The sequence below is a fragment of the Homo sapiens genome, chromosome 5 (genome assembly GCF_000001405.40).
Source record: "Homo sapiens chromosome 5, GRCh38.p14 Primary Assembly".
NCBI classification, from domain to species: domain Eukaryota; kingdom Metazoa; phylum Chordata; class Mammalia; order Primates; family Hominidae; genus Homo; species Homo sapiens.
In genome coordinates, this window is record NC_000005.10 from 95,771,339 (window position 1) to 95,798,831 (window position 27,493).

At 38.8% G+C, this 27,493-nt stretch overlaps 1 protein-coding gene across 3 annotated transcripts in view, besides 1 other annotated feature; it reads left to right on the top strand.

The window, feature by feature from the left end:
* Positions 1–25,023, top strand: part of RHOBTB3 (Rho related BTB domain containing 3) — a 78,738-nt gene extending 53,715 nt beyond the window's left edge. For all 3 annotated transcript variants that reach the window (XM_017009237.2, NM_014899.4, XM_011543279.3), the window contains 4 exons: positions 8,914–9,087; positions 12,459–12,625; positions 17,424–17,520; positions 21,721–25,023. In XM_017009237.2, coding sequence (XP_016864726.1) covers positions 8,914–9,087; positions 12,459–12,625; positions 17,424–17,520; positions 21,721–21,836 — 554 coding nt within the window. In that variant the 3' untranslated portion in view covers positions 21,837–25,023. The remainder of the gene's footprint in view (positions 1–8,913; positions 9,088–12,458; positions 12,626–17,423; positions 17,521–21,720) is intronic.
* Positions 9,907–9,956: an enhancer, noted in NCBI's record as "active region_22802". NCBI's record gives its function as "activates an Ori minimal core promoter by ATAC-STARR-seq in GM12878 lymphoblastoid cells {active_cell/tissue: GM12878}" and the evidence as "EXISTENCE:reporter gene assay evidence [ECO:0000049][PMID:35858748]".
* Positions 25,024–27,493: the final 2,470 nt, after the last annotated feature.

The following is a 27,493-nucleotide window of genomic DNA, read 5'->3' on the forward strand; positions in this document are numbered from 1 at the left end:
TTTACTTTTAAAAATATTTCCTCAGAAAGATGCACATTACTTTTAACTTTGGTCATCTGCCAAGACAGGGAAATGGAAACTTTCCAATGTACCTTCCGACAAGCCACGGCCAGCCCTGTGTGCAGTGTGAGCCTGGGACGCTGAAAGTAGGGCAGCAAGAGTGACCTTGAGATACAGAAAAACAACTGGGAAAAAAGCTAACAAGAGGACACAGACTTTATATCATGCTTTCGTCATTTTAGAGAGACCTATAACTGGCTCTAAGCCCCTTATATGATCACACCTTGATTTATTTGTTGCCTAAATAAAGATCCAAAGTGTCTATCTAAAGACAACTTTCATAAATTACTCATTATAGGTAGGACACGCCTAGTCAGGGATAAAGCTCCTGGTGATTACAGAATTCTCTCATTAGCTTCTAGGAGAAAACTGTCTGTTGATGAAGACATTTACTAAAAGTGTTTGGTACGCTCTATCCATACCAGAGAAACACAGGAATAGATAATTTTGTACAATCATCTAAGAAGCTTCTCATTTCAACAGAAAAGACTACATCCATTGTTAAGAAGAAATATGATTGGTAAATTAAAAAATATTTCCACCTTTCTAAAATTAGCTTTTAAAAAAAAAGTCTAGTTTATGGAGATCGAATCAGTTTCTGCATTCTGAAAGAAGGAGAATGATGCCGCTGGAGATGGCTGAATGCTGTCTTCCAGATGACTTCCTGGCACTGGGGTCACCTGTGATTTAGGGTTGATTGGACTCACACTGAGCAGACTCTGCAAGATGGAGATAAGGTGGGGGCAAACCATTCCAGTGACCATTATAACAACCTAGGGCACTGCTTTTCATAACCAGAAAAAGAATTGGTAATCTGAAGGTTATATGGTGAACATATGAGAGTAGTGTCTAGTGGTGTTTGATCCAGGGCCTGGTGAGTTCTGGTAGATGTCTTCCGTCCTATAACATAGTGTTGTATTAACCAGACCAAGCATCTCTGATCTTCCTGGATGTTCTAGCTACTGGTTCCATGGCCAGGGCTGACCAGTCTCTTAACATTTGCACAGTATTTGATACAAATTAGGTACAGCATACTCGATTAGGTATTTACTTCCTAGGTCATGAGTATGTTTTAGACCTTTGTCTGCTCTTTTTTTTTAACCTAGGTCCTCTTGATTGGAGTTTCGGATGTTCCCAAACCCCTCAGTCATCCCCTAAGACTCTGGAATTTTGGGTTATTCTCTAAATGACTAATCTCATTCTTTGTGTGTGTGCTTTAGAAGTTTAACTGTGAGAAGGAAGGCATAATTCCTGGTCGCAGGAGGAAACTTAAAATTTCCACTAATAAAGGATCTATGTTGTTACATTGCTGTGTCTCCTACAGTCCCTAGAACTGTGACTTGCCTTTAATAAATGGCTATTGGTAGTAAGATTAATCATCCTAAACTTGGGAATCCACCACTGAAGCATAAATGTGCTTGAAGAAGACTTTGCCTTGTAATAAACTTGTGAAATGAAAGAGGGTCCATCTCTTTGCCAGCGATGTTCATTTTGCAGCATAGTTTGAGAGCAATCTTTTTCAAGTAAATTGAATATGAATGCCTGGCCCCATCATACATTAATGAATTAGGGGTTGTCTCCCATCCCCACCTTTTCTCTTTTGCTGTGTTATAAAATAGCTACCAAATTTGCTTATAATTTGCATAGGAGGCATTGGTATCAAACATTATGTTAGCATAACTCACTGAAAAGATTTTCGAAGGGAATATGTAGCACATGAAAATATATGTCATATTAAAAAAGAGAGATAAGCAGTGATGTGGTGAATCCTTGCTCCTCCTAATGGCGTGCTTTTCTTCCATGATTCTACCTACTGTAGGCACCTGCTCCCCTTTCACCCTTTATGCAGGGCTGGGGTCAGGAAGGGCTGGCTGGATGTCTGTGCTGATGATGTGCAGCAACTGCTGTGGTGCTCTTCATTGCTTCCCTAGCTCTAAAACCAAGTCTTCTTAGGAGTCAGAAGCAAGGAACAGCAGGAATGGTGGAGGCAGGATCTGGGAGCAGCTTCTCTAAGGCCAGCTATAGGCAAGGCACACCAGCTCCTGAGAGTTGGGGAGGGGAGCTGTAGGCAGCAGCAGCAGTGTCATTTCCTCAGGATGGGCCCCAGTTCCAGCCTTGGCTTTGCGTCTTGACCAGTGTGTCTGTGGGCAAGTCACCTGACATTTCTTGTCTTCAAGTCTCATTTGTGAAGTGAAGAGGGTGACGAACCACACAGATAACAAGAGGTTCTTTTTAGTGTTAAGAGTTATGTAACTAATAGCCATCCCTCTTTGATTCTTCTTGCACTACTTGCAGGGTAGCAGTGAGAAAACTAAGAAGAAATTTTGAGTTAGAAGTTGAGTGAATTCTTGTTCCTTTCATGGCTAAAATATGTGACCACCAGCCCACTGAATGAAATGGAGCGTGTTTGAATTTGCCTCACTGTGGTCACTCTGGAAGCAGGCTCAGCTTACCAGGGCCATTTCTCTGATGTACCTTTGGAATTCTTCCAAAATGTATAGGGAGAAGTAGAAAAACCAGAGGCATTCTGAGTGAGGAAATAAGCAGATGACTCAGCAAATCACCAATCTACTTCATCTCCTTGAATAGCAAATAGTTGAATTTCATGAAGAAACTTTAATTTTTTCTGATTATGAAAGTCATATACAATTGTTTTAACCAAGTGTGCACAGAATGATCACACTTATAGAAAATGTCTGTTTTGTTCATAAGTGAATTAAAAAGGTCAGGAAAGATATATTCCATATTATGAACATTTTTTTTAGAAAATGAAATGGGCATGATGATTAGAAAAATGTTGTAAGTGCTCATTGTAGGACAGTCAGATAATATATAAAGATGCAAAAAATAAAAAATAAAAATCACCCATAATCCTATGCCCTAATAACAATCACAGTTTGATTTTGGCATAATTTCCCTCAAGTCAGTTTTCCTCTGCTTAGAAAAAGGGGTTGGGAAAATAGATACTGTCTACTCAATTGTGTGTCTTTTATTTTTAAACTTATGTCTTAAGCACTTTACACTGGATTAGAATCCCCTTGTTAACATTTTTAATGTCATTATATGGCTATATCCTATTTTCTTACTGTAGGTGTAAATTTAGGTATCTCCTTTATTTTCATTATTAGAAATAACAGCTGCATTGAAGATTTAATGTAAATATCTCACTCTGAAATTAGCATTATGTCCTTGGAATAGATTCCTTGTCAAAGAATAGGAACATCTGTAAGACATCATAAATGCTATGAAATTGTATATGTCCAGAAACATTGTACTAATTTACATTCCCATTGGCAGTGTATGAAAGTGCTTGTTTTCATACAAACAAATCCTTGTCAGCATTAAGTATGCTTATATCTTAATTTTTCTTGCAAATTTGATACAACTGTATGTTTTTAATGTTCTAGTCTAGAATCAAGAAGTTCAGACTGTGAAAATCAAAATCCAAATCTCTTCTGATCCATTGAATCTTTTAGTATTGAGACATTTGTATTACATATATATATATATGATAGCATTGACTCTGGCAGCAACTCTGCTAGAGATTATATATGTAAATCTCAAGTCTTGAAACAGTGTTGTATTTTGGTATTGGTATTCACAGCCCTACTTGCCACATGATGGTAGAGCAGAGATTTGCACTTTAACTCAAAGGCGAGTGTGAGAGTGCTTAAAACACCTGGTTAGTGCACCTAGAAAAATTAGATTGATTTCAGAATGGCACAATCATAACTGTGGCTCTATTTAAAGTCAAATTGCATTCTCTCATGTATCCTATTTTACATTCTTGTCATTATCTGAAAACTTATAAAGGTTAAGTACCCTTAATCTAAAAACCCAAAATCCAAAATGCCCTAAAATCCACGATTTTTTGAGTGCTGATGTGGTGCTCAAAGAAAATGCTTATTGGAGCATTTTGGATTTTGGATTTTTGGATTAGAGTTGCTAAACTATTAAGGAGATTAGAGATCCTAAACTATTAAGAATGTGTGTGTATATATATATGTGTATATATATATATATACACATATATATACTATTAAACATTCTTAATAATATATGTATATACATATCTCTCTCTTTCTCTCAAATATTCCAAAATCTAAAAAAAATGGAAATGTTGAAACATTTCTGGTCCCAAGCATTTCAGATAAGGGCTACTCAACCTGTGCCAGGCATGAAGGTTTGCTTTTTAGATCATGTTAATGCCTCTCAGTGTGACAGCCTTTGGGCTCTATGGTTTTGAATTGTAGCTAAATTATTAACAGACAGCTAAATTTTAATGTCACTCTGAAAAATGAATGTCTAATTTTGGGGGCTGTAAATGGGAATAGCAATTGGAAGTGTGAAAGTACTTCTCACCTTGTCATTGATGTGTAATTTAAATGTTTTACACCAAACCAAAAAAAAAATTGGGAAGGAAAATATTTTTATATTTTAAATTTATGTCAAACTTAAGACAGACCCTCAAAGTAAGGATCAGTAATCAGTCTCAAATCTTAATTATAAACTTTTTTTAAGTTACAGTGAAGTCTTAAGATAAACTTACAATTTTTTTCTATACACTTAAAATATTTATGATGCAAAATACACACTTCAAAAGATTCATAGTTGTGAAATAATTCACATTGGAATGTAACTTTGATATTATCAATACAAATTTATGGGAAGTAATTGGAATAATAATTTAAAAATTAGATGATTATCTATCTAAATGTAATGTTTTGGCTGGGCATGGTGACTCATGGCTGTAATCCCAGCACTTTTGGAGGCCAAGTTGGGTGGATCACCTGAGGTCGGGAGTTCCAGACCAGCCTGGCCAACATGGTGAAACCCCATCCCTATTAAAAATACAAAAATCAGCCAGGCAAGGTGGCAGACGCCTATAATCCCAGCTACTCGGAAGGCTGAGGCACAAGAATCACTTGAACCCAGGAAGCAGAGGAAGCTGTGAGCTAAGATCATACCACTTTACTCTAGCCGGAAGACAGAGTGAGACTCTGTCTCAAAGAAAAATAAAAATAAAAAATAAAAAAATAAATTTAAAAAATGTAATTTATTTTATAATTATATTTTGTAATTATTTCACGCAATAATAATAAATTTGAAGTGACATGTAATAAGTCTTTGGCTTCTTTACTCCAGTTTTGAGCGTGAATATTAACCTCATGAGCGGTTTAAGGAAAACTAAATGAGAATGGAATCTATGGAACAATTTAGACCAGAACTGATATACTGAGGCACCTTGATGAGGTGGTAGTGCCATGGGTCAGAAAGGCCTGGTTAAGATCTTTGCTTGGATGCATACTTACTATGTAGGTTTGGCTATGTTACTTTACATTTCTGGTTCTTTTGGTTTTTTGCCTATAAAATAGGGATACTAATTCCGACTTTGTGATGTGGTCACGGGGGTTGAGATAGTGCATACAAAGGACTAGCAGAGGCTTCACCTGCAGACTCCACTCCTCTTCACCTGCAGTGGCAGCTAGTACTGGTGGATCGCTGTACTTTTTCCTGCTGAACCCACGTTCGCAGTCAATCTTTCCTTTAAAGTGTCCCAGGCCTTCCCCCAAAACTGGCTGGAATTAGCCTAGGATAGAAAATGGGATACCATCCCCTGTAATAGGTGATCCTCAAATATATATATTTTCTCTACCACTCCCAATTTGTTGTTTTGGCGTGTAAAAAAAAATTACTATAGCAGTTCTAAAGTCAGTCTTGGTAAATATTTAGAGAGGTACGGATGTCCTTTTGATATGAGTCTGTCACATGAAGAGTTCTTTAGAAAATTACATTCCCTTCTGGTTTACTTAGCTAGTACATATTTTGGATCTCTCTTGAGCTAGGTAGGTATCCTTTTTTAGGAATGAAACCAAAAACAGTTCTAAAAATTTCACTTTTGAAACCTGGAAAATAGTATGAAGAAAGTGTGACAAATGTATTTTATTTTAGTAAACAGTCAAAGATTCTTGATAATCTATGTAAAGTGACTAGAAAACTTGGGCTTTTCATTTTTGTTTCACTCTTGTAGTTCTTTTCCTTAGAAAAAAATTCTTAAAATTGTAACATCAAATGAATACTACAAAGAAAAGATAGTTTGGCCTTGACAGTTTCAAGGAACATGATTATCTTTTAACTAGAAAATGCTATCTTCCATTTCCTTAAGTAATTTCTTTACCTGTATCCTATTGCCAGTTAGTACGTAAACCATAAACCGCATTATGTTCCTTCAGCATATTTTTATATACAGTGTTGAAAGATCTAACCATACTAAGGTATTGTATTACAGTTTCACAACAGAACAATTTATAACATCAAAACAGTAGTTTAAAGAGGTGAAAAACTGAAGTTGATGTTTTCTTAACAGGAAGCGTAATGGTTTTCCAAACTAAATTCCAACCTTGAAATAGGCTTAAAAATGCTTTAAGGTACAGTTGGCTGGGTGCAGTGGCTCACGCCTGTAATGCCGGCACTTTGAGAGGCTGAGGTGGGAGCATCACGTGAAGCCAGGAGTTCAAGACCAGCCTGGCCAACACAGCAAAACCCTGTCCCTAGTAAAAATACCAAAAAAGTTAGCCAGGCATGGTAGCGCATGCCTCTAATCTCAGCTACTCGGGAGGCTGAGGCACGAGAATCATTTGAACCTGGGAGGCGGAGGTTGTGGTGAGTGAGACTGTGCTACCGTACTCCAGCCTGGACGACAAAGCAAGACTCTATCTCAAAAAAAAAAAAAAGTACAGTTGTTCCTTAATGTCCATAGGAGATTGGTTCCAAGGACCTCCTGCAGATACCCAGATCCGCTACGCTCAAGTTCGTGATATTAAATGGCTTAGTATTTGCATGTAACCTATGAGTATCCTCCTGCATACTGAAAATCATCTCTAGATTACTTACAATACCTAATACAATGTAAATGTTATATAAATAGTTGTTATACTGTATTGTTTAGGGAATAATGACAATTTTTTAAAAACTTTGTATATGTTCAATACAGTTGCAGGGTTTTTTTTTTTTTCTGAATATTTTCCACTCTCTGTTGGTTCGATCTGTGGATGTGGAACCCATGGATTCGGAGAGCTAACTGTACTGAGTGTTTTGTTGCTGGGTTTTGCAACTCTGTTATAACCACATTATCAACAATTTCTGTTAAAATTTCAAGGTTACTTATCAAATTCTACCCCCATCAACTATCTACTTGGTATTTTTTGGTAGATCTTAAATCCCTGTGCTTAACCCAAGTGATAGATCATCCAGTTTATTTAAGTCATGCTTCTAATTTTTAAAAATATAGTGCCCTATTTATCTTTAACATTTTAAAACCTTACAATTACAAGTCAAATGGCATGACCTGTTTGTATTCTTTATTAACTGCTGTATACAAATACAGCCAGCTTGCTTTAATTATGGAAACTGGTCCTTCCCGGTGGAGGGACACTGTCCCAGTGAGGCGAGGAGGGGAGTGTGCCTGCCAGGAGGTGAGTGTTGACTGGGTGGGAGGGCTTCCCAAGTTACTTCCCTGCTCCTCAGGTAGGTGTGGCTGTGCAAATGGCAGTGCCGAGCAGTAGGCTCAGAGCTGGCAGTGCCAGGTGTTGCCTATAGATCCTGAGTGATTATTGGCTTTGGAAAAAGCCACTGGGCTTAGATGTAACTCTTTTCTTCTTTCCTGAGACAGGAGATGTTGTGCTTGGATTTAAAAGGGATGAAGAACCCAATAATTGTAAATGCTTTAGAGAAGACTATATATCCCTGATGAGTATGAGATTTTAGAGATGTGTGGGTAAACTCTTGGGCAGGGCTGAGTGGCTTGGTTTGGTTGGAGAGTTACTTCCTGGAATGCGACAGCTTTGTCACTCACACTGGCTGTGGTGTCTTCTACGAAAGTAAAAACTGCTCCAAAGCAGAGGTAGCTTTGTCTTCCTCCTCTTTGTGTCTTCAATTCCAAATGCAATGATTGGCACATGCTGATTCTCGGTAATAATCTGTTGAAGTGATCCAGGCTGAACTGAAGGCTGGCAGTGTGTATTCGTGGTTTTCTAAGGTGGTGGAAGTAGAGAGCCCTGGCCACTCACGGCCCTATCCAGCGCTGCCTTTGTGTGGTGCAGCAGTAGCTAGAGAGCCTAGCAAGCTTTTCCTAGAGAGTTAATTCAGTTCGGTGAGTTCAGTGAGCAGTATGGGCTGAGAGAGCCCTCAAAATTCAACGTAGCACTGGCTCTCCCAGCAGCAGGCATTGTTCAGGTGAGACAGAATGGTTGCCTGAGGAAGTAGTGTGCTGGGGAGACTGCAGGGATTAAGGTCATCCTCTTCCAGATTTTCATTAAGTCTGAAATGCTCTCCTTGGCTCCACAAGAGATCCTCTTGCTATTCCTACTGTGGTGTACGGACAGCTTATGGTTTACTTCTTACAGTTTCCTGTTTCAGATAAGGGGAAGCATGGCCAAGATGGTTCTGTGAGTCAGGCCCAGAAGGGTAATGGGGTTGTTTTCTTGGGAGGCACATGGGCACGGGTAGTATTATTAATATTTCAAGCCAATTGGAAAGGATTGATGTTTCATTATAAAAATATGAAGCAAAATACTTCATTTCAGTGTTTCTATTTCTGGAAATACAAACTAAGTAACAAATTGTTGTCTTGACTTGCAAATTGTTGGTTTCAAGGTCAACATCTGAACTTTCTTTATTGCTCCCTTTAAAATTAAGAAGTTTCTGGATTAATGGTAGTTATCACTCCCAAATTCAGATTCTGCATATCAGCCTAGCTGTCCCTAATGTGGTAGTCTAATTAGAAGGAAAATTGCTGGAATAACCCTGCAGGTTTATCTCACTTGTTTCTTGTTTCCCTTTTGAACCTTTCAGGTACGACAGTGCCAGCCCACAGGGCCATCCTGGTGGCCCGTTGTGAAGTGATGGCAGCCATGTTTAATGGTAATTACATGGAAGCAAAGAGTGTCCTGATTCCCGTTTATGGTGTTTCCAAAGAGACTTTCTTGTCATTTTTAGAATACCTGTACACAGACTCCTGCTGCCCAGGTTAGCAATACAAATGTTGATAGTATCTCAGAATTCTTTCTTTCCTTGCCACCCATTTTGTTAAATTGCACTCTGTGGAATCTATTTTCATTTAAGATTTATTAGTTGACATCACGGAATGTACTAAGCAATTAGAGGTGGTGCTGGAACAACAATGAATTTTCATTCAGTTCAAGTGGAAGTGCAGTGATTGGGTGCCTTTTATGGGTCTCCGACGCCGGCACAAGTTCACATGTCCCAGCCAGCACCTACAGCATGGGGATCACTGTAGGCAACTAGAAATGGAGGTGTCTTGTGGTACCCATGGCTACCGTAATTCTAGAGATCGGGGCAGATTGTTACTTGGAGCGCTGTCTCTTCCACAAGAAGAGGAGGGTTGCGCAACTGCTTTGATGTCTGTGACTTCTGATTGGGGCACTTTTAAGGACTTTCAATATTCTGAGACTTTTTTGGTCTTCCTTCTGCCCAGAGGATGTGGGATTTGTAAAGGCCTCCTTCTGACTTCTGCTAAAGTCAGAAACTCCTCAAACTGACTTCTCTGAAAACTTTTCTTGAGATGTTTAGAATACCCAGTGGACTGTAGGATTCATTTCCAAATTCACTGACCAAGGACTATCTTTGACCAGGAACCAAACATCTGTGACAGCTCTAGGTTGGAACAGATCCAGCAGGGTTCTTCTAGCTGGAGGCACTTGAAGAAATAGCAAAATTTTTTCTACAGGCCTGGAGCCTTGCTTGGGATGCTGGCAGGGAAGCCCTCTGTGAGTAGTCTTCAGCCTTTGGCCACCAGATGGCTCCCACCACAAGCACAACTAGATTCGGCCCCGTGGAGCTCAGTTCAGGAGCCTGAGACCTTGATTAGAGAACCTGGTCAGGCACCCTAATAAACATAAAAAGCAAACACACATTTCAAGCCAGACCTCTCTTCAGATTCACTGCTTTAATTTTTAGAATGGAAAGGTTTCTTACACTGGGTATTGAAATAAGTTTTAAACAAGTCATGAGCCCTCTAGTGAAAGATTTTAGAAGTTCAAAAAGAAGCAAATGTATTTGTGTTGATTAAATTAATTCTGGGCTTGCAGCTTTCTGTAGAGTATTTTGGAGCCAGTTGCAGTTGTTTCTGTCAGTGTTAAAGACTGACTTACGGCCAGGTGCCGTAGCTCATGCCTGTAATCTGAGCACTTTGGAAGGCTGAGGTGAGCAGATCACCTGAAGTCAGTTCAAAAACAGCCTGACCAACATGGTGAAACCCCGTCTCTACTAAAAATACAAAAATTAGCTGGGCATGGTGACGTGTGCCTGTAATCCCAGCTACACGGGAGGCAGAGGCAGGAGAATCGCTTGAACCTGTGAGGCAGAGGTTGCAGTGAGCCAAGATGGCGCCACCACACTCAAGCTTGGGTGACCGAGTGAGACTCCGTCTCAAAAAAAGACTTAGTATTTTTGCCTAATAAAAATGAAAGCATTTGTTCTTTTTGGAAATAAAGCTTATTGTTTATTATTTCATTGTTGGCAAATCTGTATATTAAATTTACAAATTGACCAGATTTGGAGTAATAGGAAAATTTGATTTTCAGTCATCCTCTCACTCAAGTAATTGAAGCTGCTAATATTAAGTTTTACCTTGCTAATTAGAAAATATTACAGAGGAAAGCAGTAATAATGATAGGATTTTTAAAAATTGGCAAAAGTGTGTTAGGGAAAAATGAGTCAAAATGAATAATCAAAAAGTTAAGCCAGATACTGGAATCTGTGCATTGGGAAGATCACAGAAGACAGGTAATGTTATTATGTTAAATATTCACCATACACAGTGTTCTTGGTTCCATAGCTACAAAAGAATGTAAGAATGTAAGGAGGGATAAGAACGAGAATTACATGAAAAACCAGATTTCTAGGGAAGTATTGAAAAAACCCCCAGCCAAATTGGGTGGTTGCCAGGGGCTGGGGAAAGGGGGAAACAGGGAGTTAGTGTTTATTGGGTACAGAGTTTCAGTTTGGGAAGAAGAAACATGTTCTGGAGATGGTGGTGGTGATGACTGCACAGCAGTGTGAATGTACTTCATGCCAATGAATCATATACTTAAAAGTGGTTAAAATGGGCCGGATGTGGCGGCTCATGCCTGTAATCCCAGCACTTTGGAAGGCCGAGGCAGGTGGATCACAAGGTCAGGAGATCGAGACCATCCTGGCTAACACGGTGAAACCCCGTCTTTACAAAAAATACAAAAAAAATTAGCCGGGCGTGGTGGTGGGCGCCTGTGCTCCCAGCTCCTCAGGAGGCTGAGGCAGGAGAATGGCGTGAACCCAGGAGGAGGAGCTTGCAGTGAGCCAAGATCGCACCACTGCATTCCAGCCTGGACGACAGAGTGAGACTCCATCTCAAAAAAAAAAAAAAAAAAAAAAAAAGGTTAAAATGGTAAATTTCATGTTATGTTTATTTTATCATAATAAAAACAAAACAACAAACCAACCAACCAACCTGAAGACTAATGTCAAGAAAAAAAAATGGCAAGGATCTAGTTTAGCTAACGGAAAGATTTACCAGATAGTCCTGGAATTAATTTTTAAGGGCAATTATAGAATCACCTTTTCTGAAGAATTAAAAAAAAATAGATTCACTTCTGAGTATGAAGGCTTGGATTCTTTTTATTTTTACTTTTTTATTTTATTTATTTATTTTTATTTTATTTTATTTTTATTTTTATTTTTTTGAGATGGAGTATTGCTCTATTGCCCAGGCTGCAGTGCAGTGGCATGATCTCCGCTCACTGCAACCTTCGCCTCCCAGGTTTTAGTGATTTTCCTGCCTCAGCCTCCCCAGTAGCTGGGACTACAGGCGCCCGCCACCACACCTGGCTAATTTTTTTTTATTTTTAGTAGAGATGAGGTTTCACCATGTCCGCCAGGATGGACTTGATTTCTTGACCTCGTGATCCGCCCACCTCGGCCTCCCCAAGTGCTGGGATTACAGGTGTGAGCCACTGCGCCGGCCCTTCTTTTTAAAATGGAATAATAGGCCGGGTGTGATGGCTCACATCTGTTATCCCAGCACTTTGGGAGGCCAAAGTAGGAGGATCATTTGAGCTCAGGAGTTCAAGACCAGCCTGGGCAACATAGTGAGACCTGTCTCTACAAAAAAAAAAAAAAAAAAAAAAAAGAAGAAGAAGAAAGGAAAGAAAAAAAAGATAAAATGGAATAAAAGTGCAGAATGCTGACTCCCTCGAGGCTTTTCCTAACCATTCTATTCTATGGTGGATGCTACGGTCAGCATGTTTTTTTAATTGTTGTTTTTTGTTGGTGGGGGGTGTTTAGATCATTAAAGAAATGGTTTCATCATCCACTTTCTCTCATGTCCCTTTTCTCATCAGCTGGCATATTCCAGGCCATGTGTCTCCTGATCTGTGCCGAGATGTACCAAGTGTCCAGACTGCAGCACATCTGTGAGCTGTTCATCATTACCCAGCTGCAGAGCATGCCAAGCAGGGAACTGGCATCCATGAACCTTGATATAGTTGACCTGCTTAAAAAGGCCAAGGTAATTGACTCTGTGTATCTGATAGCCTAGTTTTTTATAAAATATTTTTCAAATTATACTATTTTAAAATTTATCATTTTTTAACATACGTTAATACTAGTCTTAGTTTGGAAGTTTGGCTAATGAGGCTAAAGTGCCTTCACAACAGTTTATCTGGCTAGATAATTTTGAAGCGTTAGGGTTTGTGTGCAGTCCCTTTTATAAGGAGGCAAAATGTCCAGATACGGAATTTTTTTAACTAAATAGTGGCCCTTAGTAGAGTCATTTGAATGTGGTGCTATACTATGTCACATAGGCATTGTAGGAAATAGAATTTATGTTGAATTTCCCCAAACAATCACATCTTCAGGTTCCTAAAAGGGAAATGACAGAATTGGTCCATATATACTGATAGCGATGGTTAAGCTAAACTAATTTACTTCTTCATTTTTTCATCCATATAATGAACATGTTTTGAAGTTTCAGTTGTATGTAGGAGATATTGGTGTGCCTCATTTATCCTTGCAGAATGCCTTTTGTTTTCATGTCTCACCTTATTAGCAATCACTGCCGTATGTGTACATGCTTCTTCTGGGCCTCTTGTAAGCTCGGAGTCTTTTGTTTTCAATAATTATATCATTACTGATTTTAGAGAACGGGGGTGGGGGAGTTACATAATTAAGTTAATTTTAAGTAACTGCAGTTACAGAGGCCCTAAATTATGAATCAGAGCCAGGTCTGTAAATAAACTAGGACTACTGTGTTGAAATCTACTTCCCAAACCCCCAGATGTGCTCACAGTCAAAAACCTGCCAAATCCTTATTCCCACTTTCTTTCATTCCTGGAAGCAGAAAGCTTATTCAGATGGGCCATCCTACCGTTGGCCATTCTGCCATTCCATCCACTGCCCGAGACAGTTTCAGCACTTGTGGTAGTTATGGCACACTCTTGTGTACTCAACTTGTGGTAAGCCGAGCCCTCTAGGTTTTTTTCACAGGAATATATTTGTTCAATCACTACAGAGTGTCAGTACTTCTTGAACTATTATCTGGCATCCAACATGTCTATACCTATCAACTTTGACGTCCAGGGTTACAAAAGCATGACAACTTTTATCTCCATCCACATTGCTAAAATGGAGCCACATGATGGGGCAAATTCCAGATCTGTGACAGCTGAATGCTTGCCTCCAAGCTGAAACGAATTCATTCATCAACACTTCTGTTTATAGAAGGGAATTTATTTGAAGCATCTAGGTCTTCTCCTACTATCTCCTTAACTATTTTGGACTTCATTTCTCTCATAATCAAGTCTTACGATCACATGTATTTAATTAGGGCTAAAAACAAATTTAAAAATTGAGTAGGGCCAGGCGTGGTGGCTTACGCCTGGAATCCCAGCACTTTGGGAGGCCGAGGCTGGCGGATCACGAGGTCAGGAGATCGAGACCATCCTGGCTAACACAGTGAAGCCCAGTCTCTACTAAAAATACAAAAAAAAATTAGCTGGGTATAGTGGCGGGTGCCTGTAGTCCCAGCTACTTGGGAGGCTGAGGCAGGAGAATGGCGTGAACCCTGGAGGCGGAGCTTGCAGTGAGCCGAGATCGTGCCACTGCACTCCAGCCTGGGTGACAGAGTGAGACTCCGTCTCAAAAAAAAAAAAAAATTGAGTAACACTGATCTCTTTTTGTAAAACGTTTACATTCATCTCATGATAAATAGCTCCCCTCTAAATTTAGTTTACAATTTTTAAAATTCTTTCTAGTAGTTTCACAATCTCAGTTCATTTTTGATGTATCATTTTCATACTATTCTAACAAGTTGTTCATACTTTTTAAAAAATTGGACACAAGTTTCTTTTTCCTTATCTTTTAGTATCTTCTTAAATTGTTTATGTATAAGAGAACTTCCCGTGTGGTCACATTGATTTCTTTAGGTGCCTCCCCTCACTGCCCCCCTACACTTGGTTCCTCATCAGAATCATTTTTGATTGCACTGTCAGAAATTCTTGACTTGTTTTCCCTGATTCTCTGGTTTCTGACTCTGTGATTATCCTTATCTTTTCCCCTTGAATTTCAAACAATCTAAGATACAAGCTCATTTTGAATTTTGTTTCTGAAGACTTTTTATTTTCTAAGATTAAGCCTAAATTTACCAGTTTTCCTGTATTCTTTTCCTGGTGGTTCCTAATTTGGCAATTGTGAATTCCAGATAACAGAAGTTTTCTTCCCAAGTTTTCTTTGAAGTTCCTAGTTTGAGATTTCACTTCACCAGTCAGTTCACCCTGTTGGTCAGAATTTGGTTAACTTTTGCCTTGCCATTTCTCTGACTTTTAGGAGTGAAATTGTCTTCTGGCAGAATTAGACTCCCAGTAGCTCTCCAAATAATCAAAATTTCTGAACACTCTGCCAGTTTTGTACTGTGTGTCAGGAAACATCATTCATACTTTCTTAGATAGATGAGCAGTGTGGGTATTCTCTCACTTCTCTGTCCATTTTCCCCTAACCTCTCTCAGTTCTTTACCATGATTTACCTTCAGGTTTCCATCAAGGAGGACTCTTAAAATACAAGAGTTGAGGTGGAGATTCCGTATCTCTACTCCTGTTTAAACCCTATCTGTTCAAACTTTGGTGATTCCTATGAAGTTGTATTTATTCTTGTATTAAAAATTTTAATGCATCTTCTTATTTATAATCTATATGTTAATATTTGGCTATCTGAGGCACAAGTTGTATTTCTGAGAGTTTCCAGGTACTTTCTTGTGAGTTTATGGGTATTTTCTCCACGTTCTTCTTGTAGCTCTTAAGTTCTATTGCATTTGGTTTATGGTTTTTTAATGCCTTTTTAAAAATTCTGTTGCTTATTTCAGTTTGAACCCATTTTCTTACGTCAACACATATCCTTCTAAAACCTAGTTTTTACAGTGAGACATGTTCCATTCCTGTTACAGAGTCCCTAGACTATGAATCTGGGCCAGGTCTGTACATTAGCTAGAACTGCTCTGTTGAAATCTACTTCCCAAACCCCCACATGTGCTACCAATTCCTCATTCCTCAGTTCTTTCATTCCTGGAAGCGGAAAGCTTATTCAGATGTGTCATCCTACTGTATTTAAGATATTTTGGATAATATCTTAAATCTTGGTCAAAAATAAAATTCTTCATTTTTAAGCATGCTTTGTAGCCAGCTGTTTATTTCTGTGACCTCCCTTTTCCTTCTCAGTCACAGCCCTTAAGGCAATGTCCTAACCTCCTGGTGTTTTGTTATCTGCTCTGGGTTAATCACGTAACAGTAGTGGTGGCTTCTCTAAAAAGCTGAAGGTTCTTATTCTTTTCCCTTGAGATTGCACACATTCATCTGCTAAAAGATAAGGGGAGGAAAAAAACTGTTAAAATGTTATGTGGGATTAGATAAACTATAAATTTATTTCCAGTTCAAAAATTGATTTTATATAATGAATATAAGAGGGACCTGTGAATTTGTGTTTAAATACTCTCACACTATACAGCTTTAAAAAAAAAAAAAAGCATATCCTTGAGTTTTTTTATTAAGGTTTAGAGATTACTAATCTTTCTTCAATTTAGCATTACTTGTTGCTTATTTAATATTTTTGCATCTCCTTAGAAGAGCTATACTTAGCCAAAAGGTGGAAACAACACAAATGTCCATTGACAGGTGAAGAGATAAACAAAATGTGGTATATATGTACAATGGGATATTATTCAGCCTTAAGAAGGAGTGAAATTTTGATATCTGCTACAACATGGATGAAACTTGGAAAATATTACCCTAAATGAGCCAAACATAAAAGGACAAATATTTTAGAATTTCACTTATATGAGGTACCTAGAATAGTGAAATTCATAGAGACAGAAAGTAAAACAGTGGGTGCTAGGATCTGATAGGGATAGGGAGAAAACAGATTGTTTAATGGTACAGAGTTTCAGTTTGGGGTGATAGAAAAGGCCTGGAAATGGATAGTGGTGTTGGGTTGCCCCACCATGTGTATGCACTTATTAGTGACATTTAACTGTACACTTAAGGATTGTTAAAATGGTAAATTTTATGTTACACATATTGTACCACAATAATAATAATAAAAAAAAGAGTTCTATACTCATGTGCCAAAGTTGCCTGCCAGCAAGTTACTGTCATCTGCATTGGTGGTTGGATGGATCAGTGAGTGTCACTGGATGGGCACCAAGGTGATGATGTCAGTGGCCTGCTTGCTTGGAGTTTTCCCTCCATTAGCAGCTATTGGAACTCAGAATGAGGAGAATGGAGCTGGAAATCCTGCTCAGTTTACTGTACATCTCATTAAAAGCAAATATTTAGCCACAGCTTTCTCTTAGAAACATTTACACATTGAAACCCATGCCTTCGGCCGATGGTGTTTCCTCCTCAAAATATTTTTTGGCTTGCTCCTCAGGTGAACTTGTTTTAACATTGCTCACCATCATCTACTACACAGATACAGGTGCAGTTATTGAAGTCCGTGGCTTCAGATTAAAAGCTCAAATTAAATCTTCAAGAACCTCAGATGCAGCCATGCATTGCTTAAAGACGTTTGGCCACTCCGGCAGCCGTAGATTGTTATTCGCTGTTGGCCTGGCTTCTTCCGAGAATGTACTTTTAACGTTATTTGCTAATAGTGCTCCCTCATCCTGTCTGCTGTCACAGTATACTGAAAGCTGCATCAGGTAAAGGCACATTAAACATGAATATGGGCTCTCCGTGATTGCTCCCAGGCCGTTCTCTTGATCTTATCATACCAGTGGCCATTATGTGCAATATTATTTCACTTTTCATTTTTCTTGCAGTTTCACCACTCTGATTGCCTTTCAACCTGGCTACTTCATTTCATTGCTACTAACTACCTCATCTTCAGTCAAAAGCCTGAATTTCAGGATCTTTCAGGTAGATTGCTAATTTCTGTTTTGAAAAGAAAACTTTATGTTCTTTGTTCTTAGATTTGAGACATAAGTTGTAGAAGTAGTACTTTTAGCAAAATAAGAATAGTCAATGTAATAAATTTCTTGTAAATTATGCAGTGTGGTAATTGAGGAAACAATTTATAGTCACCTGTGTTACATAAGTGCCTTAACCTGTGTTACACAAGAAGTTTTCTAATGATTATTTTATAGCTCCATCCGTTTTTAAATGCATTTTCTTTCCCTGAAATAGATAAGGTGACAAAATGTGTCCTCAGGTGACATTTGGTTGTGAAAAGTGATATCTTAGTTCTAACTACCTAAGTCAGCAGCAAAGTTTAAACAGTACAGATTTAAAAATTTTTTATAAAGGAATTTAACTCTTGTTAACTATATTATATTTAGCTTTATTGTACTGGATATCTGTATTTACTGAGTATACCTATATGGGAGTCCCTTATATTACTTTGGAATAACAGTTTTTCATATATAAAAAATGTTGTGAAACTTACTGGGAGTGTATGTAATATGCTTTCTAAGGTAAATTATAAAAATTAAAACCAAAGTGTGAACTACTGAGTACTGCATAAAAAGAAAAAAATGAAAATATAATAGTTGTCAGAATAGACAGTTTAGATGCAGTGGTTTGCTCATGTTATTATCTAGCATAGACTCAAGGAAAATTTGAGCTAAAAAGAAAAGGAAGTGAAAGATTACCTGATCAAGGAGTTTCACAATCTGGACAAATAAATCTCCGTGGAGATAACTGAAGTGTCTTCTAGGGTGGGGGACAGAAAGTAGGGAGTGGGTGAGGAGAAGGAGAGAGAGAGGGAGTAAGGGAAAGGGAAAGAGAAGGCTAAAATTTACAGTTCTTGGACTCTTCCCTCCCTCCTTCAGTCATAGTAGTTCCACTTTATCTGTTTCATATCTTGAGTTCTACCTAAAATTTTACTTCGTAAAAAAGACTCTGCTGGTAAAAGATATAAAAATCATATGGTCAAGATGGTGATTCCACCTCGGTGTAATCCCAGCCAACTTGGGAGGCTGAGGCTGAAGGATCACTTGAACCCAGGAGTTTGAGTCCAGCCTGAGCAACATAACGAGACTTCTGTCTCTAAAAGAAAAAAGAGTAAAAATCTCTTGTTTTTATTCAGCTACTTGTGCAGTTAAAGAAAACCCAGGAACACACAATCCGTTTTTGGGAGATGTATTCAGCCAGTCAACAAACATTATATGTCTATTAGGAGCCTCCTTATATAAGTCAACTATTAGTACAGTAGAGAAGCATAATCACATCAAAACAAAACAACAGTTATTTATTAGCTATGTACTTTGTGCAAGGAAAAAACAGTCAGTTCATAAAGATAAGGCTTGTGTATGCTTGCTGTCAGAAGGAACATTCTTCTATAGTTATTTAAGTAGCTGCTTCTATAGTTATTTAAGAAGCTTGCTAAAAGTTAAATGAATTGCACTTTGGTCCTGGAGCCAGTTTCATTATGTTACCTGAGGTCACTCTTATTTGTAAGAGAAGAATAAGATTATTTTCTACTTACTATCTTGTATAGATATATGGTATATATGGAGTACTATTACAACCTTGGGAGAAGGATGGTCTATAAATCCTTTTAGTTATGAATTTTCATTATATGGTATTACCCAATTACCTATAAAGTATGTTATGACACCTGGCATGGTGCAAAGCAGGACTTCCAGTGCGATGTGAGGTGGCAGGCTAAGGAGGAAACGATGTGTCGATGTTGCCTTCTGTTCCTTTGATGGGAATTAAAAGGGAATCATGAGAACTCTCATTCTGCAGTGCCTCTTCCTGTCCAGGGTCCTGCTATGAGGTGTCATCCTCTTGGGCAGAGGAAAAAAGCGCCTTTTGGATAAGGGAGAATTTAATTGTCTAAATCAATAGTTACTAACTGGCCATCTATGGTTTAGGTGTAGCCTGCCAACGTGTTTTATTGGGACCCCACAGTTAAAAATATATAGTACTGGTATTTAAAAATAACCATATTTTGGCTTCTTTTGAAAAATTGGAAGATCTGGCTACCCCAGGCCCATCATCCTAGTGGCAACATGTGGCTTGGCGCTGACGGCCCACCTAAAGGAGCATGCCCTCTCCAGAGGGTCGCAGTCACTTCTCTCCAGTGCTTTACACCTGGCCCACTGCACATGGTCACCTGAAGTTGGGAAAGTTTCTTGTCACGGTCACTCTACAGCTTCCTTATAGAACTGTCCATCTTCAGCTTGAAAAGTTCTCAAATTATTATTGGAATTCTACAACTTGTTTTCTGTTGACTGAGAATTTTTCATTTTTAGAGGTGTTTAGAAATCAAAAAGTGAGACTGGAAAAGATGTCATGTCAGTACAGGCACAGATACATCAGAACCCAGTTAAATAGGTCATTAAGTATTAGATTTTTATATACTGGACTCATGAACACAAACAGCGGTGCACAGGAATATGTTACCCTTGGCATTTATGGATTCATTATTCTCGCAGTTTAATTTAGCTCGATATTATGTGTTCTGTGTTATGGGGTTTTGTTTGTTTTGTTTTGCTGGCTGCCAGAGCTCATCTCTAATAACTTTTCTCTGGTTTTTAATATTTACTGAGGGAGTAGTCTCATGTCACCTTTGCTTCCTCTTGAAACTTAGAGCTGAGCAGCTAGTTTGTATGGTCCTGCAGGCTGAATCAAGACCCTGTTAATCTGACTTATAATAGATGAGGTTAAACAGTAGATGGAGAATCAAGTAATTCTCCTGCCTCATCCTCCTCAGTAGCTGGGATTATAGGCATGTGCCGCCACACCCAGCTAATTTTTCTTTTCTTTTCTTTTTTTTTTTTAGTAGAGACGGGGTTTTGCCATGTTGGCCAGGCTGGTGTCAAACTCCTGACCTCAAATAATCCGCCCGCCTCGGCCTCCCAAAGTGGTGGGATTACAGACATGAGCCATCGTGCCTGGCCTCCAGCAAGGTCTTTATGATCTATATCTTGAGTCGACCTCCTATCTCATTCTGTAACCTAGAATGCCTAACTGTCTGGGAATGCAGCCCAGTAGGTTTCAGCCTCATTGTCCCCAGCCCCTATTCAAGATGCAGTTGCTCTAGTTCAAATGCCTCTGACAGTTGTGCTTCACCAAACCTAGAGAATGAACAAAGCGAAGGACCTGGAGTTCAAGAATGGAGGGATCCAACTCCAAGGCAGGAAGCAGGTCCAGAAAGCAGGCAGGGCAGCAGCAACAGGGAAGAACAGCTTATCTGATGACTGGCTGGGTGGGAAGCACAACTGAGAGGACTTGAAGGACTTTGGAAGACTAAGTTAGCTACAAAGAAAACTAAGTATTATACCAAAAAAACTTATCCGGGCGTGGTGACAGGCGCCTGTAGTCCCAGCTACTCGGGAGGCTGAGGCAGGAGAATGGCGTGAACCCGGAAGGCAGAGCTTGCAGTGAGTCCAGATTGCGCCACTGCGCTCCAGCCTGGGCGACAGAGCAAGACTCCGTCTCAGAAAAAAAAAAAAAAGAAAAGAAAAGAAAAGAAAAGAAAAGAAAACTAAGTATTATAAATGGAAAAAAAAAATAAGTCCGTTATATCCAGGAAAAACAAAAGCTTTATTGGAAAAGAAAAGGAAGCCAGGCGTGGTGGCTCATGCCTGTAATCCTAGCACTTTGGGAGTCCAAGGCAGGCAGATCACGAGGTCAGGAGATCGAGACCATCCTGGCCAACAAGGTAAAACCCCGTCTCTACTAAAAATACAAAAAATTAGCTGGGCGTGGTGTCACACGCCTGTAGTCCCAACTACTCGGGAGGCTGAGGCAGGAGAATTGCTTGAACTGGGGAGGCAGAGGTTGCAGTGAGCTGAGATCACGCCACTGCACTCCAGCCTGGGCGACAGAATGAGACTCCATCTCAAAAAAAAAAAAAAAAGAAAAGGAAAATAATGAAATACTACTCGAAGTAGTGGACAAGATATATATAATTGTAAGTCACATAATAACTTAAATCCTGATACTAATTTAACCAAAATGGTAGTAAATTATTTGGGAAAACTTGTGGGAATGGTAGGAGATGTATCACAGAGCTGGATCTCATCTATTAAAGAGGAAATCAATAGCTGATATCTTAATTGATCCATAATAAAACATATTCGGTTAACAGTCTTTTTCTTAAAACTTCAGTGGAAGAACGCAGTTTTGTTGAAAAGCACAGATGGCCGTCGAATATGTACTTGAAGCAGCTTGCGGAATACAGGAAGTATATTCACTCCCGGAAATGTCGTTGCTTAGTAATGTAACCTGGAGCTTTTATACACTACATTTCTTTTTTATTATTATGAAGAATGGGATACCTCCAGGTTCCAGTAAAATTCTTCTGACCGAAACCAATGTGGGTGTTAGAAAAATTACCATATAGCTTAATATGTTTATTAGTTCTCTTTGGAAAAAAACTACCACTGTGGTCTTAAAAGGGAACAAAATATACCATAGGCTAAAACTAAGGCTTTCACTCTAGAATGCAAAGCTGTTTTGCAGCTGTTTTCCCTTAAAGATGTCCTGTTGCTTTAGTGATATTTAGACCCCTCTCAGTTAAGAAATGCTTAGATTAAAAAAAAAAAATTACGTAGGATTAATACAGAAATTTAATCATGTCTGATTAATTGCTCTATTAAAATAAGGGGCATTTAAAGACCCAGCATAACCATTTGTATAATGAGAAATCTAGGGGAAAACCAATCAGTCCAACATGAGATTTTAGGAATAGAAATTTGCCGGCCATTTGGAAAGTGAAATGCCACTTAGTTCTCAATTGATGACAGTGTTTGAATCATCATAAAAAAAATACCTGCTTTTCATCTGGACAACCCAATTGAGCCACTTTATCTCCTTTTGGCAATCTGAGTAGGCGGGGAACCTAGGCAGGGCTGGCTTTCTTAGCGTGTAACTTGTGTAGCAGCACAGGGCCCACACTTAGAAGGACCCCACACTTGGTTCAAGGCTCTGCTATAGCGGAAATTCTTAATAATGTTTGAAGAAGGGCCCCATGATTTCATTTTGTGCTGAGCCCTCAAAATTATGTCTGTTTCGTGGTGGGAAATATCCTATGTTTTCTTGCTCAAACACCTTTCTCTCTGAAAGCAGAAAAAGGCACTGATATAAAGGGAAGAGAAGGAGGCTCACCGGAGGGAAGAGAACATAGTGAAGATTCCCGCCTTTGGGGAGGTCTGGACCACCCAGGGCCTCCACTGCCACCTTGGCTGGCAAGGGAGAAATGTGTTGTGTTGTCTTAGCTTTAAAACAGTCACAGTTCTTGCTCTATCATAGATGAACAAATACTTTCTTGATCATTCTGTAAGACCAGGAGGTTGGTAAGAGTGACTAACCAGCCTAACTTTAATACACATGTATAAAGATGTTCACAGAGAAAGATGCTCTGTAGAGAATTTGCTACCGAAGTTGGCTCAAGAATTTGTTTTTAGTGTTATTTACCAAGATTAGGACGTCAGTGGCTTAAATTCTTTGAATTCTTTTCAAGGACTGCAAGATTATTTGATAAAGAGTAGCATGAATCTTGTGCTCTAATATTACACAGTAAGTTCAAAGAAAGGATGTAAGTCAAAGACTTGTTACATAGAGGGAAAATGGACTGGGATAGAGGACAGACTGATAGTTTCTTTCTTTCATATCACATGTATAGAGAAATAATTATATCAGAAACTCACAAACCTAGACATGGAAAAACAGATTACTGTCTATTGTCAGCATCATTTTCATCTGTAAGTCACTACTGGAATATATTTTTCTTTTAATTTCCAGTGACTTTAGAATACACACAGTTTTTCCGACTTTTCAAAAATTTGATTAAATGGTTTTATAGTATAATATTGGGACCCCATACCGTTAGCCCTTGTATGTATACCAACACTGCCAAAGTAAAACATTAGGTCAGGCATGGTGGCTCAGGCCTGTAATCCCAGCATTTTGGGAGGCTGAGGCAAGTGGATAACTTGAGGTCATGAGTTCGAAACCAGCCTGGCCAAAACAGTGAAACCCCGTCTCTACTAAAAATACAAAATTAGCCAGATGTGGTGGCGCACACCTGTAATCCCAGCTACTCAGGAAGCTGAGGCAGGAAAATCGCTTGAACCTGGGAGGTGGAAGTTGCAGTGAGCCGAGATCGCACCACTGCACTCCAGCCTGGGTGACAAGAGCGAAACTCCATCTCAAAAAAAAAAAAAAAACCAAAGTGAAACACTAAAAATTCCCTATAGATATATTCCAGGAAATATTTTAATTGGGCTGATTTTAATTAGGCTGTATCATTGATGATTACTGGAATCGATTTTATGTCTTTTGTATTTTAATCACTTGAGTTAATCAACCACTGGCAAATCCCATTTGACAAAGATTAGCATTGTAAAAAACAGATACTGTGGTAGATTTCTAGAAATTCATTCACATTTAAGACTTCTAAAATGGAATAATAGCCTTTTGTTTTTCATGAGCATATTCGCACCCCTATATGAATTACAGCATTTAAAGTTCAAAATCAGTAACTTTTAATCTAGGAAATTGAAAAATATTAAGTTGCAAAGCAAAAAAAGGTATTTTCTTGAAAATACTATTTAATGTTTAACTAGACTATAGGTAGTTCCTTAAGGTTGTTTGACCTGAAGTGGAGTTGGGTTTGGAAGCTGGTGCCCAGTTGGTGTGGAGTGTGTAGTTTTGTTATGAAAGTTCTCTACCACCTACCTGTGTGAGTGACACCAACATCCAGATGTCACAGCTCTCCAGAGCTAGTCAGAAGAGAAATCAAATTAGTGTTTAAACCCATTTGCATATTGACTTGTCAGTACCTTTAACTCAATTTAATATAACAAGAAATCGTAAAATACTTATAACCTATCTTAGAGAAATGAGTGCTGGTTTTGAGAGTTGTTTTTTAACTGAAAGATTATTTCTAGATGGGTAGTGCTTTGTGCTGGTTTCTGCTTCCATATATTTCCCAGTCATTTTAATTAGAGAAGATACTCTATGGTAGAACTAAGGCCTTTCCTTTCTTGGCCAAAGTCTTTACCCTATTTAACCCTTTGTATATTTCTGACTGCTCACTGTTCATATTATAGGGGACCAGATTTGTAATATAGAATTCTCCATAACATGAATGAAATTAATTCTGTCCAAGCCAGCATGGTGGCTTCATATTAAGTAGTAACAGAAGTCTGAACAATTGGATAAATTTGACTTCCAAGACAGCTAAACTTTTCAACTGCAATTTTAAAAACTACACTACACTGTTATAGTTAATCTGACAAAAATGTCCTCAAAGAGTACTTTATTTTATTTAAAGCATCTGTTTAATTCAACCTTTAATAATTTTGCAAAGAAGGGTATGTGTGTATTTTAATATAGCCTGACCTGAATTTATATGTTTTTAGCTTTAGTATTTAACTTTTTGTAACAAATAAACCTTTTTTAAAACAAGTTTAACGAAGTGTCCTGTAATTATTTTACCTTGGATGTTGAAATACTGAAATGATTTGGAGAATGCTGCCTTGTATTTCTCAAGCATAATTATGCTTCATAGATAATTTTCATTATGTGTAAAATATCTAGAATGTTGCTGATACTATAGCTGACTAATATGTGTGGTGAGATAAAGAAATTTATATTATCTTTAAAAGTCAAGACCAGAATTTATCTCAGCAAAATAACTGCCTTTATTTAGAAAAATGCTTTGATAATTAAACATAGAAGTGAGCCCCTTGTAGGCTTGAGTGTTGTCTGGGACCAAGGCTTGGGAAGTGGAGAAGCTGCTCTGATAATAGATGGAAAAGAATTTGGAACTTCCCAGGGCTGAGGAGCCCAGGTAGGGAGGGGAAAGAGACAAGGCAGCCATACCATGAGAATGGATGGTGCATGGAATGATGCAGTCCCTCCCCAGCAGGTTCCCAAATTTTCAGTAAAGCCTACTAAACTCATGAAGGGCTCCACAGTTCCTTTGGAATTATGTTCCTAACACAGATCTGATCTGGACACACATCTTCATAGAAGAGCCCCATTGCCTTTAGTTACCTCCACAGTCCTCTTTGCCATGAGGCCTTTTATAACTTAGCCCTGTCTTTTCTGCCTGAGCACTCCTCCCCCAGGCAGAAAAGGTACTGCCATCTTGACACACTGCACTGTCCATTAAGATTGTGTACTGGCAGACTTTAAACTCTTCCTATGGCTTGGGGTGGGTTGCCATTCCCTGTCTACTTTGCAAACTCCTGCATATCCTGAAAAGCCCATCTTAAATATCATTTCTCTTTTGTTTTCTGTGACTTTCCCAAGAAGAATTTGTTGCTTTTGTACGTGTCTTTCCTTAGCTCTTTATTCATACCTTTGTTATGGTGCTTATGGCATTTCTCGGTATTTGGCTATTGGTGGTCTCTACTGGGCTATTACTTGAGGGACAGGGACCATGTCTTGATTTTTCTTCGTGACCTGTTTCCCAACCCTCCATCTAGCATAGGGCCTGGCATAACCTGTGTAATACATGGAACTGAAAAGGCCAGATTGCTTCAGCTGGAACAATAATTGCAAACTCGCAAATGAAAATGAAAAGCATGCTAACACTTAAAACTGTTTGCTCAATGTCAGGAGTAGCCAGTATCAGCCCGCATGTGGGACCAAGGTGATCAGGGAGGCCAAGTGTATGGGGAGTTGATGAACATATAGAATGGAAAAGTGATAAGTGATGGACCACTGAGGAGATGCAGAACATGAACAAAATAGTCCTTGGAGACATCTTTGCCTGGGAGTCTTCACTGGAGTTTGGGCAGTAAGATGAGATGGGGAGACAGAAGAGTTTTTGTTGGGCATAACGAAGTTTGAAATTCTCTTGGTGCTATACACAGTGTTCGACTGTATGCAGATGTTCCTTTAACTGCATGCACTTAATTTTCCATGTCATGAGGCAGGCTGTGTCTCAAAATCTCAGTTGTCCTCTACTGTTGTAGCTTAATGTTCAACAGTAAACTAATGATCAGCATTATCATAAAAGTGTCTGGCATTCTCTCACGTGTTCAGAGCAAAGAGCTCTCTTATTTATAATTATTTAAGAAAATAGCATGCAATTTATGTCACAGCCCGACAAGTTCTTCCTGCCTGCTGCCTCCCAAAAAACTAATGCATTGAGAAGGGGGTCTCAGGACCAGGTGGTATCTCTTGGTCTGCCAAAATGCTAAATCTGAAAAACACCTGAAAAACCAGTTCTTTAGGTTTCAAAATAGTGATATTATCCATAGGAATAGATGGGGAAATTACAAATTTTGCAGCCTTCAGTTGCGTAACCCTGGGGCAGTAAGCAACTTACAGAAAAGCAAGTTAAGCAAACAATGGATGGTTAGTGTTCACCCATGCCTATTCTTTAGCAAAGTTCAGGCCCCTACCATAATTCTAACCTTGTGACCTTGTATGGTTTCAATTTTTGAACAAGGAAGAGATTGGTTCAAGGAGGGAAAGGACTGTTAACGATTTCCACACAAGAATGAGCAAAAGTACTTTAGACTGTTAGAAGCAAGATGGAGTCAGTTATATTAAATTTCCCTTACTACTATAATTTTTGCAAAGGCAGTTTCATTTAGTGGACACAGTATATTATTATTTTTTAATTAAGGAGAAAGGAATGGGGATCTCAACCTCTTTTCCTTTGTTGGGCACTTGGAAGATCTGAAGAACTTTTTAACTCTAAAACATATGAACAAAGGCCAAAACATTAACTTGCCTTGAAGGTCAAGCCCAGTCCCTCATCTTTGACTTAGTGCCTGTCCTGTTTTGTTCATGCCCAAGCAAGATTCTGTTTCTTCCCTTACTACCTACATCACCACTAAAATGCTTTTGCTTTCAATACTTGTAACCTCTAGGACTCCAAAGGTCCCAGTGGTTTGATCTCTGACATGTCATATTCAAA